The 19,013-nt window shown below is 43.5% G+C and overlaps 1 protein-coding gene across 7 annotated transcripts in view; it reads left to right on the top strand.

The window, feature by feature from the left end:
• Positions 1-19,013, top strand: part of ORC1 (origin recognition complex subunit 1) — a 36,675-nt gene that overhangs the window by 6,036 nt on the left and 11,626 nt on the right. For 3 of the 7 annotated variants that reach the window (XM_047421674.1, XM_017001388.3, NM_004153.4), the window contains 10 exons: positions 1,240-1,339; positions 1,979-2,106; positions 5,605-5,783; positions 7,104-7,422; positions 9,665-10,025; positions 14,147-14,251; positions 14,831-15,026; positions 17,519-17,616; positions 18,206-18,307; positions 18,747-18,918. In XM_047421674.1, the coding sequence (XP_047277630.1) occupies positions 1,245-1,339; positions 1,979-2,106; positions 5,605-5,783; positions 7,104-7,422; positions 9,665-10,025; positions 14,147-14,251; positions 14,831-15,026; positions 17,519-17,616; positions 18,206-18,307; positions 18,747-18,918 (1,755 nt within the window). In that variant the 5' untranslated portion in view covers positions 1,240-1,244. Of the gene's footprint in view, positions 1-1,239; positions 1,340-1,978; positions 2,107-5,604; positions 5,784-7,103; positions 7,423-9,664; positions 10,083-14,146; positions 14,252-14,830; positions 15,027-17,518; positions 17,617-18,205; positions 18,308-18,746; positions 18,919-19,013 lie in introns of those variants that run through there. The other 4 variants (XM_047421680.1, NM_001190818.2, NM_001190819.2 and 1 more) reach the window with 3 other exon arrangements.

Genomic DNA, 19,013 nt, shown 5'->3' with positions numbered 1-19,013 from the left:
ACAGTTTTTAACTTTAATGGAGGGCAATATGTGGACTTTAGGAGGTTTGTGAATCTGCCGAAATTGAATGCAAAATTTTGCTTGAATTATGTTAGTTCCATAGTATTCATCAAATGATACTTAATAAATAAAACCACTGTACCTTACAAATAAATGCAAGGGATTAAGGTAGTGGGAAAGTGGATTTACCATTTTGCATTTTTTCACTTAATCTTCCATTATCCTAAAATAGTGCCTGGCACACGATGGGTACTTAATAAATATTGGTTGAATAAACGGAAGATTCTATTTTCTCCATTTTGTGGGTAAGCAAATTGAGGCCCAATCCACAATGTTCAGTCAGTGGCTGGGAAGCCTGATTTATTGTAATAAGTACACCAAAAGCAAGCTCTCAGTTACATATTAACATTATCCAGTTTCACACAGTGTGTTGTAAGGTGAAGTAGTTAAGAGCACAGTAATTGCAGTCTGGCTTTTCCGGGTTTGAGTTAAGGCTGTGCCATCCTGTATAAGATAGGATAAGTTATCACCTTGAAGTGATAATAACATCTACTTTTCTTTTTTTTATTTTGAGACAGAGTTCTGCTCTGTCACCCAGACTAGAGTGCAGTGTTGCGATCTCGGCTCACTGCAGCCTCCACCTCCCGGGTTCAAGTGATTTGCCTGCCACCATGCCCACCTGATTTTTGTATTTTTAGTAGAGACGGGGTTTCACCATGTTGGCCAGGCTGGTCCCGAACTCCTGACCTCAGGTGATCCACCCACCTCAGCCTCTCAAAATGCTGGGATTACAGGCGTGAGCCACTGCGCCCAGCCTTTGTATTTCTGTTTTATCCTTGTGTGCATTTTATAAGCGTCATGAAGACATTTACAACCCCTGTATCACTGTCTTTTAATTTCACTTTGTTAGATGTTTTACACCTATTGTTCTGCCTTATTCCTAGTATTTCTAAATGTTACAGTTTCATTTCTTAGGAATTGACCTTTCTGTTTTCCTGGATGGAAAGAGATACGGCATAGTACAAGATGGACACAGATGATACTAAATTGCCTGTGTGTAATCTTCGTAGACCATGACTTCAAATAAAATGTTTTCTTAGTCTAAAATGTATGGGAGTGTAGCAGGGGCAGAAAATAAGTCTGATCTCATTTGAAGGGAGGGACTGACTATGTCTTAGAATCCATCAGATAAATACCAAATATTTATCATGGTAACTCAGAGTTTGGACTCTTCCACAGAAGCCATGGCACACTACCCCACAAGGCTGAAGACCAGAAAAACTTATTCATGGGTTGGCAGGCCCTTGTTGGATCGAAAACTGCACTACCAAACCTATAGGTGAGTGATGGGGTCCTTTGGTTGTCCTGGAAATACAGCTTCTCAAGCTAAACAGTCAACTTGTATCTAGCCTGTTCTAATTACTACAGATTGACCATGAATGAACAGGAGATTAGAACTGATTGTAAGGAGGGTTTTGTTTGATGCAAGAAGATGGTGGGATAAATATAGCAGTTAGTGATGGAGCAAAATTATGGCAGGCTCATAAAATTTTGTATGTAGGATAATGTCATGTCTATTTAAGGTGAGTTCTATATAACTTTTGATGAAAACGAGATGATAGATGTTTTTACTATGTCTTTCCCAGCCCTGGAGATCTCTGACAATTTGACATTGTTACTGGGCAGCTTGACAGCCTTGGGAAACATTTGTTGTGGGAAGCATTTGTTGTTCTTTGTCAATAACTGAGAGGAATTAGGGTTCCTAATAAGACCTTTGGATTCATTACTCAGCTAAAACAATTCATTCAACCCATTTTGCCTATTCTTAAATATAACTGGGCGAATTGGTTTCCCAGTAGGAGAGTTGGTCAGCAGAAAGAAATCAGGATTGGAGAGCCCTCTCCTTTGTGCCCAGGGGATCTGAAGAGCTTGACCCACTTTAAGTTATTTCCTAATGTGCTTCTCTGTTACTTCCTAGAGAAATGTGTGTGAAAACAGAAGGTTGTTCCACCGAGATTCACATCCAGATTGGACAGTTTGTGTTGATTGAAGGGGATGATGATGAAAACCCGTATGTTGCTAAATTGCTTGAGTTGTTCGAAGATGGTGAGTTTGGGACTGGAATAATAAACCATTCCTTGTCATGAATGATTGGGAGGTGGGGAGATTGTGGATTCTTTTGTTCACAGCAGTGTGCAGGGCACATTAGACTGAGGTGGGATCACGTAAGAACTAGCTGCGTCTTCTTCCATCTAAAAAATTTCTTTACTCACCAAAGCAGTATTGAGTAAAACGGAACTGGAAGGCTCAATAATTTAACTTTTTCATTATTTTGGGGAGTAAGCAAGGCTATTAAGGCAGAATTGGGGGGGATGGAGAGAATGGATGAATTTGGGGGAAAGGGAGAAGGAAAAAACAGGTAATTTGTACTATCATAGAGATGTGTCCTTTAGTTTTGGCATGAAGGTTAGTAATATATTTTGCAAGTGCTACTTCGTTACAAGTGAAGAGGTAAGTTGGATTTGGAAGGTGTAGCAATTGGGGTTTCAGTCAGGGAAAACAAAAACACTTAAGATATTTTACCCAGAGGAACTTGTGTGTTAATGTTGGAAAGGCTAGAAGAAAAGGTGACATTTACCAGAGATGAGTAAGTGCAGGAAGCCACGGCTGCCCCTAGGCTGGAGGAACAAAAGGGAAGGTGGCATCAACCAGAGCCTACAAGCCCACATCGAAAGCCTTAGCTGATTTGCTGACCTTCTAACCCTCTGCAAAACAAGAGGAGAGCACAGAAATGTGGGAGTGGGGCACAGCTCCACAAGGAGGATTAGGAAGATAGCAATTTGAAACTATCTAAAACTGCCTCGTTCAAGAGACAGAAGAAGGGCATGGTCATTAGGTAATCCTGTGGTAGTCTGTATGCCCAAGAGAAGGAACTGATAGACTGAGTGGATAAAGATGTTTTATATTACTATAGTCCCCCTTATCCGTGGTTTCACCTTCTGCGATTTCAGTTACCTGACAACAACCATAGTCCAAAAATATTAAATGGAAAATTACAGAAAAAAACAAGTCATAAGCTTTAAATTGTGTGCCATTGTGAGTAATGTGGTGAAATCTCACGCTGTCCCACCTGAAATGTGAGTCATCCCTTTGTCCAGTGTATCCGTGCTGTACAGTATGTGTGTGTAGGAAAAATCATAGCATATACAGGGTTAGTGGCAGCATCTGCAGGTTCAAGCATCTACTGGTCTTGGCGCGTACCCTCAGCAGATAAGGGGAGAGTACTGCACATAGATAAGGAGGATTTTGGACATACTTTCTCTTTGACATACTTAGAAGTATGGAGAAAAACCTCATCAAACTAATGTCCAGTAGAGGCAGCACATCAGAATCATGGGCTTCGGTGTATAGATTCTAGAATCCTCTCTTGGTGCTCCATTGGATGACTTTAGTCTTTCTCTGAAGAAAGCTAAGCAGGGAAGAGAGGATGATGATGAGGCACTAATGAGTGTTCTTTCGGTTGGAGCTATTGCTGGTACGGAGTGATACTAATCGTATGCTGTAATAATAAAGCTGAAGATTGCAAGCATTTGCCAGAAGTCATCTCAGTGGTTGATGCTGTAATTCTTGTGTGTGTGTGTGTGTGTGTGTGTGTGTGACAGTGACAGAATCTTGCTGTGTCACCCAGACTGGAGTGCAGTGGCACAATCTCAGCTCATGCAGCCTCAACCTCCTGGGTTCAAGCAGTTCTCCTGCCTCAGCCTCCCAAGTAGCTGGGATGACAGGCACCTGCCACCATGCCCAGCTAATTTTCTTTTTCTTTCTTTTTTTTTTTTTTTTTTTTGAGACAGAGTCTCGCTGTGTCGCCCAGTCTGGAGTGCAGTGGCGCCATCTCGGCTCACTGCAAGCTCTGCCTCCCGGGTTCAAGCCATTCTCTTGCCTCAGCCTCCCGAGTAGCTGAGACTACAGGCACCCGCCACCATGCCCAGCTAATTTTTTGTATTTTTAGTAGAGACGGGGTTTCACCGTGTTAGCCAGGATGGTCTTGAGCTCCTGACCTCATGATCCGCCCGCCTCAGCCTCCCAAAGTGCTGGGATTACAGGCGTGAGCCGCCGCACCTGGACAATTTTTTGTATTTTTAGCAGAGATGAGGTCTCACCATGTTGGGCAGGCTGGTCTCCAACTCCTGACCTCAAGTGATCCGCCTGCCTTGGCCTCCCAGAGTACTGTGATTACAGACGTGAGCCACTGCACCCAGCCTGATGCTATAATTCTTGCTAGGATTTTTGTTTTGCTGCTGTTTGATGCTGTCTTTATAGTCACTGATTTTTATTTGTTCGTTGCCTGTGTTTAGAGTAGCTCCTCTCAGAGGCCTTTTTGTCATTCCTTTGCCGGCTGATAGCACCATTAGGAAATGGAGCAATCCCAGAAGAGCGGGTGTGTGGGCTGGAATTAGATTGCTGCAGTTGGTCATGTGACCTTTGACAAACTCTTTAAGGTCCCCCGTCACTTGATTTCTTTGCCTGAAAAGGGGGATAGCTGTAGTACCTACCTTGTAGGGTTATTAGAAGGATTAAGGATCGGCCAGGTGTGGTGGCTCATGCCTGTAATCCCAGCACTTTGGTAGGCCGAGGCAGGCGGATCACGAGGTCAGGAGATTGAGACCGTCCTGGCTAACACGGTGAAACCCCGTCTCTACTAAAAATACAAAAAAATAATTAGCTGGGCGTGATGGCGGGCGCCTGTAATCCCAGCTAATTGGGAGGCTGAGGCAGGAGAATGGTGTGAACCTGGGAGGCGGAGCTTGCAGTGAGCCAAGATCAAACCACTGCACTCCAGTCCAGGTGACAGAGTGAGACTCCGTCTCAAAAAAATAAAATAAAATAAAAGATAACACATGTTGGGCCAGGCATGGTGGCTCATGCCTGTAATCCCAGCACTTTGAGAGGCCAAGGCGGGCGGATCACTTGAGGTCAAGAGTTTGAGACCAGCCTGGCCAACATGGTGAAACCCTATCTCTACTAAAAATATAAAAATTAGCCAGGCGTGGTGGCACAGGCCTGTGGTCCCAGCTACTCGGGAGGTTGAGCCAGGAGAATCTCCTGAACCAGGGAGGCAGAGGTTGCAGTGAGCCGAGATCACGCCACTGCACTCCAGCCTGGGGGACAGAGCAAGACTCCGTCACAAAAAAAAAAAAAATTTTGGCGGGAGGTGGTGGCTCATGCCTGTAATTCCAGCACTTTGGGAGGCCAAGGTAGGCAGATCACGTGAGGTCACGAGTTTGAGACCAGCCTGGCCAACGTGGTGAGACCTCGTTTCTACTGAAAATACAAAAATTAGCCAGGTAGGATGGCAGGTGCCTGTAATCTCAGCTACTCAGGAGGCTGAGGCAGCAGAATCACTTTAACCCAGGAGGCAGAGGTTGCAGTGAGCCAAGATGGGGCCACTGCACTCCAGCCTGGGTGACAGAGACTCTGTCTCAAAAAACAAAAAACAAAACCACACATGTCAAGGGTTAAGCACAGTGTCTGGCACATAGGAATTGCTCAGTAAAGTGTCCTTGAGTTGTCTTAACCTTTCCCTTTCCACCAAATTCTTTCTAGACTCTGATCCTCCTCCTAAGAAACGTGCTCGAGTACAGTGGTTTGTCCGATTCTGTGAAGTCCCTGCCTGTAAACGGCATTTGTTGGGCCGGAAGCCTGGTGCACAGGAAATATTCTGGTATGATTACCCGGCCTGTGACAGCAACATTAATGCGGAGACCATCATTGGCCTTGTTCGGGTAGGTGATGCCACCATCCTTGGTTCTACCTTGAAGCTTATTTCTGTCTGCCTCCTGAACTTCATGACCCCAGAAATATTACCGGCTCTAATACCCCATAGGGAATGCATTATTTCCTGTCATCTTCTGTGCTTGCCTGTCTGTTTCATCTCAACAGATATTTATTGAGAGCACGTATCATGTGTTAGGAGCCTCCTACAAGAGGTGACATTTGGGTTGTGACCTGAGGGATGAGCAGGAATTAGCAGATGTATCTCAGGGGGATGTTATATTTAGCTATGACTGTGGCATGCATAAAGCATTGTGAGGCTGAATATGCTGGCTTAAACGAGGACTGCACCTTGAGTAAATCAGTACAAAGAGTGCTAGTTGCTACAGACAAATTTGTATGACAGGATTTCTTAATAAATCAGGTGCTAATGAGCGGCTGGTTTGCAGGCTGAAGTAAGTCACTGGTTATGAGTTTTTCCTGAAGTGACTTCAGGCTCCCCAGCATGGGATTAGGTTGTGATGTGAGGTGTGGTTGTATGCTGATTATGTGGTTCATTGAGCGTTAGGGTAGAGACTCTCGTCTGGCATGATTATCTTAATTTATCTTTGAGTTAAATGAGTGAAGGAGAGAAAGCTAAAGGAGTGTGAGGCAGATGCAAAAGTTGAGGCAGCAGGATGAGTATACGCGGAGAGGCACAGGGCTTGGAGCATCTGGGCAGGAGCACAGTGGTGGGAATAGCAGGACTGTGACAAGACCTCTTCAAGGAGTATTGCGCACTCTGTAGGTAAAATGAGGCCAGATCTTAGAAGGCATTGAAAAATTAGTTTAAGTAATTTGGTCTTGCTACAGTGGGAGCCATTATTGGCTGTTGAGCAGGCGAGCATGTTTAGATAAGTTTGTGGGGAAACTTGGCATAGGCGAACAGAATGGACTGGAAAAGAAAGCAATGGTAGGGTATAAGAATATCAGCTAGGAGGAATCTGTGAAAATAACCCAGGAGTGAGAGGATGCATATTTGAACTAGGGTGATAATAATAGGAATTGAGAGATGAACAATAAACATTTTTAAAATGAAATGAAAGGAATAATTTATTTCACTGATGTCTTTAAAGTGATTAATGATAAAATGAGTAAATACTCAGTAAATATTCATTATTATGTGTTTTTCTAGCAATATGCTATGCCATGTCTATGCGTCTTTAGATTGGAAAGGTAACATTTTAGGTACAGATGTGGACTTCAATGTTTTTAATTGTAGCTCTGATGGAATACTCCTTGGCTCTCTTGGGGCTCATCTCTTCCTACTTATCTATACTTCCTAAATTCAGGTGATACCTTTAGCCCCAAAGGATGTGGTACCGACGAATCTGAAAAATGAGAAGACACTCTTTGTGAAACTATCCTGGAATGAGAAGAAATTCAGGCCACTTTCCTCAGAACTATTTGCGGAGTTGAATAAACCACAAGAGAGTGCAGCCAAGTGCCAGAAACCCGTGAGAGCCAAGAGTAAGAGTGCAGAGAGCCCTTCTTGGACCCCAGCAGAACATGTGGCCAAAAGGATTGAATCAAGGCACTCCGCCTCCAAATCTCGCCAAACTCCTACCCATCCTCTTACCCCAAGAGCCAGAAAGAGGCTGGAGCTTGGCAGTAAGTTGTGGAATGGATCACCGTGGGCAATACTGGGGCTAAAGGGTTATGTGATAAAAATGATAATTTATGGGAAAGTATTGAGTTAGTGATCACAGTGCACTATAGCCTGGAACTCAAGTGATCATGCTCAAGCAATCCTTCTGCCTCAGCCTCCCCAGTAGCTGGGACTACAAGGGTACATCACTGCACTTGGCTCCATTTTCTGGGTTTTTTTGTTTTTGTTTTTTGAGACAGAGTCTTGCTGTGTCACCCAGGTTGGAATGCAATGGCACAATCACGACTTATTGTAGGCTTGACCTCTTGGGCTCAAATGATCCTCCTTCCTCAGTCTCCCAAGTAGCTGGGACTACAAGTGTGTACCACTATGCCTGGCTAATTTTATTTTAATTTTTTGTAGCAAGAGGGTCTTGCCATGTTGCCCAGGCTGGTCTCAAAGTCCTGGGCTCAAGTGATCCACCCGCCTTGGCCTCCCAAAGTGCTGGGATTACAGGCATGAGCCACCATGCCCAACTATCAAAGTTTGTGTTTAATTTTAGGACTTCTCCCTTTTTTTATTTAATTTTTTAAATATGTGAAACATTAATATAATTCGAGTCAAAACTACTTAAATGTACCCAGAAAAGCACTACTCCTTTCCTTGTCCTCCAACCCTGCTTACTCCACCTTCTATATGTTAATTAATTGTTTCCCTTTCTGGTTTATCTTTCCTATGTTTCGTTTTGGAAAAATCAGCAGATACATATACATATATGTATACCTATATGCAGACACACATATATTTTTATTTTTCGTTTTCTTACCAAAAGGGTAGTATACTGGATATATTCTTTTCCAACTTGCTTTTTCCCCTTACAATGTATCTGAAACTCACCCCACAGCCTTTCTGAGAGCTCATCCTCATCTTGTTGTAGTCATTCATCCTTTTTTGAATTTTTTGTGTAGGTGTCAACTTCAAGTATAAGTTACTTGTATTCTTGATAGCTCTATAGTACAGTATGTGTTTTAGGAGCTGAATATAAATGTATAAAACATTTAGAAAATGCAGCACAAATATTAACTAATCTGTAATATCACCTTCAGAAATTAAGGGGCTGACTGGGCATGGTGGCTCACACCTGTAGTCCCAACACTTTTGGAGGCCGAGGCGGGTGGATCAACTGAGGTCAGGCATTTGAGACCAACCTGGTCAACATGGTGAAACCCCGTCTCTACTAAAAATGCAAAAAATTAGCCAGGTGTGGCAGCACATACCTGTAATCCCAGCTACTCGGGAGGCTGAGGCAGGAGAATCTCTTGAACCTGGGAGGCACAGGTGGCAGTGAGCTGAGATCACGCTATTGCACTCCAGTCTGAGCAACAGAGCAAGACTCTGTCTCAGAAAAAAAGAAAGAAAGAAACAAGGGAGTTTTTCTTTTTTTTTTCTTTAGGTCCTCATATGTCCCCTCTTCTTCCTCTTTCAACTCTGTTGAAATTTTACCTTTCTTTCAAGGTATGTCTCAAAAGCCATCTTTATGAGCACTCAGGTGCTTCTGGACACTTATTTCACTTTATGTAATATAATAGGCAGTCATGTGTATCATCTGTTAGACTAGAGTGTTTTTTGTGTTGGAACCAGGATTGAGCCTCATTCAGCTTTTGTTTAACCTCAGCCCCTGGCACACGCCTGCCTTTTTAACTGCTCAGTTGGTATCTGCAAATGAGCAGCTGGGGTCCTTGGTGCTGTGGTCCTCGTGATGAGGGAGCAATTCCAGACAGTTTTGTGTATTCACAGAACCAGTGGATTGTCCCCAGGAACCCCACTTCTCTCTATTGGCAGATATAATCTGGGTTAAGAAAAATCTTGGCCTCATTGTTACTTGATAGCATCTCTAGTATAAATCTCTTCAAATGTCATTGAGTTAGGGTTGAAGGCATGCGATGTCACCCCTGATTGAGACCCACTGTTCTGATAGGTTATTTCAGGGAAACCTGTTAGAGATGAGAAAACACTCCATTTATCTGCAAAAGCTGACTTAAAAGTTGACTTATGGTTCTAACTAGGAAAATCACTCCTAAAATTTAGGTGAGAGATGAAAAATTATTAGAGCTACCTGGGCTGGAGAAAGCAAGCCTGGAATGATTAAAAATATAGATAATTCCTGTTTTACATATAACTCAGTGGCTGAATTTGGCTGTGATGAGATTGTGGGTTTGTATATTGTTAGGTAAAAAATTTACACATTGTGATGATTTCTCTTAGACTTAGGTAACCCTCAGATGTCCCAGCAGACTTCATGTGCCTCCTTGGATTCTCCAGGAAGAATAAAACGGAAAGTGGCCTTCTCGGAGATCACCTCACCTTCTAAGAGATCTCAGCCTGATAAACTTCAAACCTTGTCTCCAGCTCTGAAAGCCCCAGAGAAAACCAGAGAGACTGGACTCTCTTATACTGAGGATGACAAGAAGGCTTCACCTGAACATCGCATAATCCTGAGAACCCGAATTGCAGCTTCGAAAACCATAGACATTAGAGAGGAGAGAACACTTACCCCTATCAGTGGGGGACAGAGATCTTCAGTGGTGCCATCCGTGATTCTGAAACCAGAAAACATCAAAAAGAGGTGACCAGGGACATTACCCACAGAGCAAATTGAAATCCTTCACATCACGTGAAGTATGTGAGTCATAGTCAAAAAAGTTAGAACAGTAGTTGAAAAACCTATGTCACAGAAGTATTGGGGAGCTTTCTTAAAATACAGATTTCTAGGCCTCTTCCCACACCTAGTGAGTCAGACTCCAAGCACTGGCCCTAGGAATCTGTATTTGGAAATGCTCTTCAGATGGTTCCAGTATACCGAGCTGTTATTTGGGGATCATTGCTATAGAAGATAACTTCCCAAACCTGCATTGCTATCCAGTTTGGGATTTCATTAGTTCCTGTGGCTTTTTGCCACACTTTAACAGTCATTTTTTAAAGCAGTTTTTCATTGTTGTTGTTGTTTCATTTTATTTCAATAGTTTTTGGGGAACAGGTGGTCTTCGGTTACATGGGTAAGTTCTTAAGTGGTGATTTCTGAGGTTTTGGTGCACCTGTCACCTGACCAGTGTACATTGTACCCTATATGTAGTCTTTTATCCCTCACCCACCTTCCACCCTTCCCCGAGTCCCCAAAGTCCCTTATATCATTCTTATGCCTTTGCATCCTCATAGCTTAGCTCCCACTTATAAGTGAGAACATATGATATTTGGTTTTCCATTTCCAAGTCACTTCACTTAGAATAATGGTCTCATCTCCATCCAAGTTGCTGGAAGTGCCATTATTTCATTGTTTTATGGCTGAGTAGTATTCCATGGTAAATATGTACCACATTTTCTTTATCCACTCATTGGTTGATGGGTATTTAGGCTGGTTCCATATTTTTGCAATTGCAAATTGTACTGCTATAAACATGCGTGTGCATGTGTCTTTTTTTTAATATAATGACTTCTTTTCCTTTGGGTAGATACCCAGGAGTGGGATTGCTGAATCAAATGGTGGATCTACTTTTAGTTATTTAAGGAGTCTCCACACTGTTTTCTATAGTGGTTGTACAAGTTTACATTCCCACCAGCAGTGTAGAAGTGTTCCCTTTTCTGGCTGGGCGCGGTGGCTCACTCCTGTAATCCTAGCACTTTGGGAGGCCGAGGCGGGCGGATCACAAGGTCAGGAGATCAAGACCATCCTGGCTAACACAGTGAAACCCTATCTCTACTAAAACATAAAAAATTAGCCGGGCTTGGTGGTGGGCGCCTGTGGTCCCAGCTACTTGGGAGGCTGAGGCAGGAGAATGCTGTGAACCTGGGAGGCGGAGTTTGCAGTGAGCGGAGGTCGCGCCACTGCACTCCAGCCTGGGCGACAGCGAGACTCCATCTCAAAAAAAAAAAAGAAGTGTTCCCTTTTCACCACATCCACACCAACATCTATTATTTTTTGATTTTTTAAATTATGGCCATTCTAACAGGAATAAGGTGGTATTTCATTGTGGTTTTAATTTGCATTTCCCTGATAATTAGTGCTGTTGAATATTTTTTCATATGTTTGCTGGCTGTTTCTGTATCTTCTTTTGTGAATTGTCTATTCATGTCCTTTGCCTACTTTTTTTTTTTACCTTTTGTTTTTTTTTTTGAGCGGGAGTCTTGCTCTGTTGCCCAGGCTAGAGTGCAGTGGTGCGATCTTGGCTCACTACAACCTTTGCCTCCTGGGTTCAAGCAATTCTCCTGCCTCAACCTCCTGAGTAGCTGGGACTATAGGCACTCACCACCACGCCCGACTAATTTTTGTATTTTAGTAGAGGTGGGATTTCACCATGTTGGCTAGGCTAGTCTCGAACTCCTGATCTCAAGTGATCCACCCATCTCAGCCTCCCAGAGTGCTGGGATTATAGGCGTGAGCCACCGCACCCAGCTCTTTGCCCACTTTTTGATGGGATTATTTGTTTTTTTCTTGCTGATTTGTTTGAGTTCCTTGTAGATTCTGGGTATTAGTCCTCTGTTGGATGCATAGTTTGCAAATATTTTCTCCCACTCTGTGGGTTGTCTGCTGATTATTTCTTTTGCTGTGCAGAAGCTTTTTAGTATCATTAGGTCCCATTTATTTATTGTTGTTTTTGTTGCATTTGCTTTTGGGGTTCTAAGTCATGAATTCTTTGCCTAACAATGTCTAGAAGACTTTTTCCAATGTTATCATCTAGATTTTTTTTTTTTTTTTTTTGAGATGGAGTCTCACTCTGTCTGACGCCCAGGCTGGAGTGCAGTGGCATGATCTCAGCTCACTGCAACCTCTGCCTCCCGGGTTCAAGCAATTCTTCTGCCTCAGCCTCCTGAGTAGCTGGGACTACCAGCGCGAGCCACTACACCTGGCTAATTTTTGTATTTTTAGTAGAGACGGGGTTTCACCATATTGGCCAGGCTGGTCTCGAACTCCTGACCTTGTGATCCACCTGCCTCAGCCTCCCAAAGTACTGGGATTACAGGCGTGAGCCACTGCGCCTGCCCGTTATCTTCTAGATTTTTTATGGTTTCAGGTTTTAGATTTAAGTCTCTGATCCATCTTGAGTTGATTTTTGTATAAGATGAGAGATGAGGATCCAGTTTCTTTCTTCTTCTTTTTTTTTTTTTTTTTCTTTTTTTGGAGACAGAGTTTTGCTGTTGTTGTCCAGGCTGGAGTGCAATGGCACGATCTCGGATTACTGCAACCTCCGCCTCCCGGGTTCAAGCGATTCTCCTGCCTCAGCCTCCCGAGTAGCTGAGATTACAGGCACCTGCCACCATACCCAGCTAATTTTTTGTATTTTTAGTAGAGACAGGGTTTCACTGTGTTGGCCAGGCTGATCTCAAACTCCTGACCTCAGGTGATCCACCCACCTCGGCTTCCCATTTTTGTATTTTTAGTAGAGACAGGGTTTCACCATGTTGGCCAGGCTGATCTCAAACTCCAGACCTTAGGTGGTCCACCCACGTCGGCCTCCCAAAGTGCTGGGATTACAGGCGTGAGCCACCATGGCCGGCCCCAGTTTCATTCTTCTACATGTGGCTTGCCAATTATTCCAGCACTATTTGTTGAACAGGGTGTCCTTTTCCCACTTTATGTTTTTGTTTGCTTTGTCGAACATCAGTCGGCTATAAGTATTTGGCTTTATTTCTGGGTTCTCCGTTCTGTTCCATTGGTCTACGTGCCTATTTTTATACCAGTACTATGCTGTTTTGGTAACTATATCCTTGAAGTTATAGTTTGAAGTCAGGTAATGTGATGCCTCCAGATTTTTCTTTTTGCTTAGTATTGCTTTGTCTATGCGGGCTTTCTTTTTTGGTCCATATGAATTTTAGTATTGTTTTTTCTAGTTCTGTGAAGAATGATGATAGTATTTTGATGGGAATTGCACTGAATATGTTGAATCTGTAGATTGCTTTTGCATTGTGGTCATTTACACAATATTGATTCTACCCATCCATGAGCATGGGATGTGTTTCCATTTGTTTGTGTCATCTGTGATTTCTATCAGCAATGTATCAGATCTAGGACCTTTTTGGATGAGTCTTCAGGGTTTTCTAGGTATATGATCATATCATTGGTGCACATTAACAGTTTGACATGCTCTTTTTTAATTCGGATGCCCTTTATTTCTTTCTCTTTTCTGATTGCTCTGGCTAGGACTCATTTTTTAACTGGAGACTATTCTCAAATACAAACTGTACAAAAAGATAAGACATTTAGAACAAACTTTGCTGTACAAATAAAAATGCAACAAGCCAGAAGTTACAATTTGTAGTATTTGCTACCTAGAAACTTCAGCACCTGTTCCATAATAGGTTGCTCAGTAAATGCTTTATATTGAATATATAGCTGCATTTCTGCTAACCTTGAGCCTGTGTGGATAATAAATTCATGCATGCATCAGAAACAAAAAAGGACAAGCACCTCTCCCTGGGAGTAGCATATTTTGGTCTCTAGTTGGGGAGTTGGTGAGTCTAATTTAAATAAGGTTAAGGCAGACTTTGAACTCTGGGTTTGAGTCAAGCTTCAATTATAACTTTTTAGTTATAATTTTTTGCCAACTTTTTAGCAGAAAGAAAGTTTTACTCTTTTCAAAGTATATATAAAAAGACTGGGAGCCAATCAGGCCACTTGACTATCTTCTAGTGCCTTTTGTACACTCTGGTATCCAAAACTGCTTCCCGTGACCTCGCTGTGGTTTCTTGCAGGGATGCAAAAGAAGCAAAAGCCCAGAATGAAGCGACCTCTACTCCCCATCGTATCCGCAGAAAGAGTTCTGTCTTGACTATGAATCGGATTAGGCAGCAGCTTCGGTAAGACTACTCCTTGGCAGGCAGAGAAACATTGCTGCCATCTCTGATATCTATAATCTTATCTCCTAATGCCTCTTATACTGTTTATTTGCCAATCCATTGAAATTGACCTTTTACCTAGCATGTCTGGAATTATGTTAAGTTTCAAATAATTGTCTTAGTCTGAAGGGGCAAGAAATACTTCCTGGGCTTAGGTGACTCCCATCCCTAATCATCATGTCCAGCAAGACTGTTGGTGGGATGGGGTGCCTAAGAGCATGAACTTGGATTCTGACAGATCTGGATTTGAACCTGGGCTTTGTCATTTACCATCTGTGTAACCTTGGGAAGGCAAAATTACCTTTCTAAGCCTGAAATTCCTCATCTACAAAATATAATAATATACATGTCATAAAGTTGTTGAGGGGTTTAATGAGATAATATAAATAATGCTCCTAACAGAGTGTCTCGGTAGCAAGCACCCATGTCACCTGGTCACAGGAGGGACCCTGCAATACTTGTAATCCACACTAATGTTATAGAGTTCTTCTTATTTAGACTTGAACACTGAGTATCAAAAAATATGTCCCTACCATTCAGGTTTCTAGGTAATAGTAAAAGTGACCAAGAAGAGAAAGAGATTCTGCCAGCAGCAGAGATTTCAGACTCTAGCAGTGACGAAGAAGAGGCTTCCACACCGCCCCTTCCAAGGAGAGCACCCAGAACTGTGTCCAGGAACCTGCGATCTTCCTTGAAGTCATCCTTACATACCCTCACGAAGGTGCCAAAGAAGAGTGTAAGGTTCTTCTAGGTTTACTTCCCATTGAAGCATCCCTCTCTTAGTTTAAAAGTTACAAATGCTGAAGTCACAGATTAGTAACAGCTGGAATCTGAGGACAGATCTGTTATATTCAATGCTATTCTTTGTGGAATATTCATGGAGAAGGGGACCTAAGTGAACACTAGGACTGAAAATGAATCTAGTAGAGAGTGATTTTTGAGGTAAGTCCCTTTTACGGTACAGAATCAGATGGCCAAGAGCTGAACTTCCTGAGGGAAGTAAGTACAAGACCCACTCCTCTTTGCATTTCCCACGGAGCACTGGCAGAGTGGGTATCGCATGTACGGCCACCGAGCTGTGGTGTTAGTTTTGTTGTCCCACTTGATACACCTGAGAAACCGGGAGTGCTACTTACATATTGGTAACAAATCATGTCACAGCAAGATGGAAGGAGGAGATCAATGAACATCTTTTCTGCTTCCTGTGGAACTTTAGCAGAACACTGAAAAGGTATTCAGATCAGGATCTTCTCATGTTCGAATGTGCTTGAGAAATGTTTGAATTAAAGTTAAATTGACAGAGCATCTTATTCTTTGGAACACAGTTGAGAAATCTTAATTAGAAGACTTTCTAAAGCTGATGTCCATTTTTCCGTATGAAGATGTGATTTGGCTTGGGTTGAAATCAAAGAAAAATCTCGGCTGGGCATGGTGGCTCATGCGTGTAATCCCAGCACTTTGGAGGCCGAGGTGGGTGGATCACTTGAGGTCAGGAATTCAAGACCAGCCTGGCCAACAATGGTGAAACCCTGTCTCTGCTTAAAATACAAAAATTAGCCAGGCATGGTGGCAGGTGCCTGTAATCCCAGCTACTCTGGAGGCTGAGGCGGGAGAATCACTTGAACCTGCGAGGCAGAGGTTTCAGTGAGCTGAGATCGCACCATAGCACTCTAGCCTGGGCGACAGAGTGAGACTCTATCTCAAGAAAAAAGAAAAGTCTCTAGGGAAAGGAATCCAGTAGATCAGTAGTCCCCAGCCCCTTTGGCACCAGGGACCCCCTTCGTGGAAGACAAACTTTCTACGGATGGCAGGGGCTGGGGGGATGGTTTCAGGATGAAATTGTTCTACCCTAGATCACCAGGCATTGGATTCTCATAAGGAGTGTGCAACCTAGATCCCTTGCACACACAGTTCGCAATAGGATTTGCACTCCTATGAGAATCTAATGCCTCTGCTCCTCTAGCAGAAGGCAGAGCTCAGGTGGTAATGCTCACCCCACCCACCACTCACCTCCTGCTGTGTCCTGGTTCCTAACAGGCCTCTGGTTTGATTGTGTCTCCTGGCCCCCACCCAAAAGTAGGGATATAGGGTGTAGGGTACCTTCAGCATAATAAAAAAGGGCAGAAGCCCATCAGGTTTCTTGATACCTTCTCAGCAAGGCCTTGTCAACACTTTTCTGTTTTCTCCAAAATTAATAAATGTAAGGCCTTTTTGTTTTTTTTTGAGACACGCTCTTGCTCTGTCTCTTGCCCAGGCTGGAGTGCAGTGGTGCAATCTCAACTCACTGTAGCCTCAACCTCCTGGGCTCAAGCGATCCTTCCACCTCAGCCTCCCAAGTAGCTGGGACTACAGGAGTGTGCCATCATGCCTAGCTAATTTAGAGGGGGCTTTCACCTCTGTGTTGCCCAGGCTGTCCTCAAACTCCTGAGTTTAAGCAGTCCTCCCTTCTTGGCCTTTCTAAGTTTTGGGATTACAGGCGTGAGTCACCGCACCAGCCTGTAAAGCCTTTTAAACAGTTTAAGTGCTTTCTGCCTCGGGAGGAAATGGAGAGATTGTTCTCTCTCTAGCCAGGCTGAAAACAGAGGGTGGGTGGAGTGAAATGCCCCATAGAAGGGAATGCTTTGTAGAAACGCCATGAAGATGAGGGAAGCAGCAGCAGGCTTGTTCTAGCAAGCCATGAGCAAGGAAGAAGATAGAGGGCTGTTAGACTACACTAAGCGGTGACCTGGGGGTTTGGAGTGGAAAAATCTGCCAAGGTTTCTCCAGGTCCCGCACCGTGGGCCATGGAAGTCCTGGGCTGATGCTTGGCCATATCTTCAAATAAGCCCAGGGAAAGATCTAATGAATCAAACCTAGTTTATGCCTCCTCTTCTCTTCTGTATTTGGGCAGAGTAGTTAGGGTGTCTTAAACATTTCTTGTCTTTCAAGATAATATTTTACTTTTAAATAGTATTTCATCCAAACTTAATTCTTTCCTCAGACTGATATTGTTATAAATCCTGATACTATACATACATTAGAAAAAAGAAACCATATTTGGACGATGAACAAAGTTTATGCAATGTGAGGTGAGAGAGGGAGAGTCATGGTCCTTTATCCAGGAAGGAACTAAGAGGAATTCACCACCTCTCTTCCTTTTATCAGATCAGCACAAATCACATTTGCTGGTGTGTCCTGGATGGTGTTTTGCTTTTTCCTTGTGAAATATGTTCTTTGTTTTCAATACAGCTCAAGCCTAGAACGCCACGTTGTGCCGCTCCTCAGATCCGTAGTCGAAGCCTGGCTGCCCAGGAGCCAGCCAGTGTGCTGGAGGAAGCCCGACTGAGGTACTGCTGCTGTTGATTCCCCTTCAGAGAGGCAGGAACCATGGGGCCTCTGCTTTCATTCACATAAAATTAGCAGTCACTGGTCTACCTAATAAAGGTAGATACACTGTGTGTCTATACTTTTACCTATCTAGGTAAAGTGAGTGTATGTTTAGAAAAAAGAAACCTCTCAGGCAGCATCTGGGTTAGCCAGTGTGGACAGGCCCTGGGAGGACTGGCCTTCCCGTCTACTGCCATCATTTCCGCAGGGATGGAAGATGATTAGTCAGGACAGTGCCTCTTTGTTTTGATGCCCTTTAGAACCATATGGAGACTTTCATATAAGTCTGGATCCTGTCAGAAATCAAGCAAAATCTGAATCTCCTGTGGGATGAGGTCCACCCATGTGATTTGGGTGGAGAAACGGAGGCCAAGGATTATGAGGCCAAATGGAGGGATTTGAGAATGAAGGGATTCTCTAGCATTTGAAATTGAGTTTTCAGGTAGAAACATAGACAAGAAACCATAATCATTTTCCATTGATTAATGAGTAGATGGTTGGGGAATGTTCCTAAAGTCTTCCTTTTCTCCCGTTTACCACCAATGGTAGGCTGCATGTTTCTGCTGTACCTGAGTCTCTTCCCTGTCGGGAACAGGAATTCCAAGACATCTACAATTTTGTGGAAAGCAAACTCCTTGACCATACCGGAGGGTGAGTCATGTGAGGCAGGCAGGGTAGTTTGGGGAATAAGGCCCCTGCTAGTGGAATGCCTTGGGTGTTACAGTTCAGCCATACAGGCTTTCTCCAGTATCAGCAGACTAGACCAAATCGTTGCTGAAGCCCAAAGCTTCTGAAACATTTGTTGCCAAAGTAATCCTATAGTAACAGAAATTTTGCCTTTCAGAAAGAATGAAACTGGCCTTCATTGAGTAGGCAGTTTGCATATAGCATTATGCAAACTGTGGAATGAATGATTCTATATAAGCAGGTCCTACTCTGACCAGCTTCCAAGGATGGTCCCTACTGCCCCCACCTCCACATTTCAAGGGTCTCGGTCCTTCCCTCAGTATACATTCCCACACTCCTAACTGATTATAACGTGTAGTGGCTGGCTGAGACCTACCCCACGGGTTTTCCTCTCTTGCTCTAGGTGCATGTACATCTCCGGTGTCCCTGGGACAGGGAAGACTGCCACTGTTCATGAAGTGATACGCTGCCTGCAGCAGGCAGCCCAAGCCAATGATGTTCCTCCCTTTCAATACATTGAGGTCAATGGCATGAAGCTGACGGAGCCCCACCAAGTCTATGTGCAAATCTTGCAGGTAAGCAGAGCTGTTTAGGCTTTTTGGAAAATGCTGTTTCTTCGTGACACATGAAAAAGGAAAGAGTTACTTAATTTTGCGTGTATTGCATGTTC

The sequence above is a fragment of the Homo sapiens genome, chromosome 1 (genome assembly GCF_000001405.40).
Source record: "Homo sapiens chromosome 1, GRCh38.p14 Primary Assembly".
Classification (NCBI taxonomy): domain Eukaryota; kingdom Metazoa; phylum Chordata; class Mammalia; order Primates; family Hominidae; genus Homo; species Homo sapiens.
Note: the sequence above shows the minus strand (reverse complement) of the source record. Positions and strands in the feature narration are given on the sequence as shown.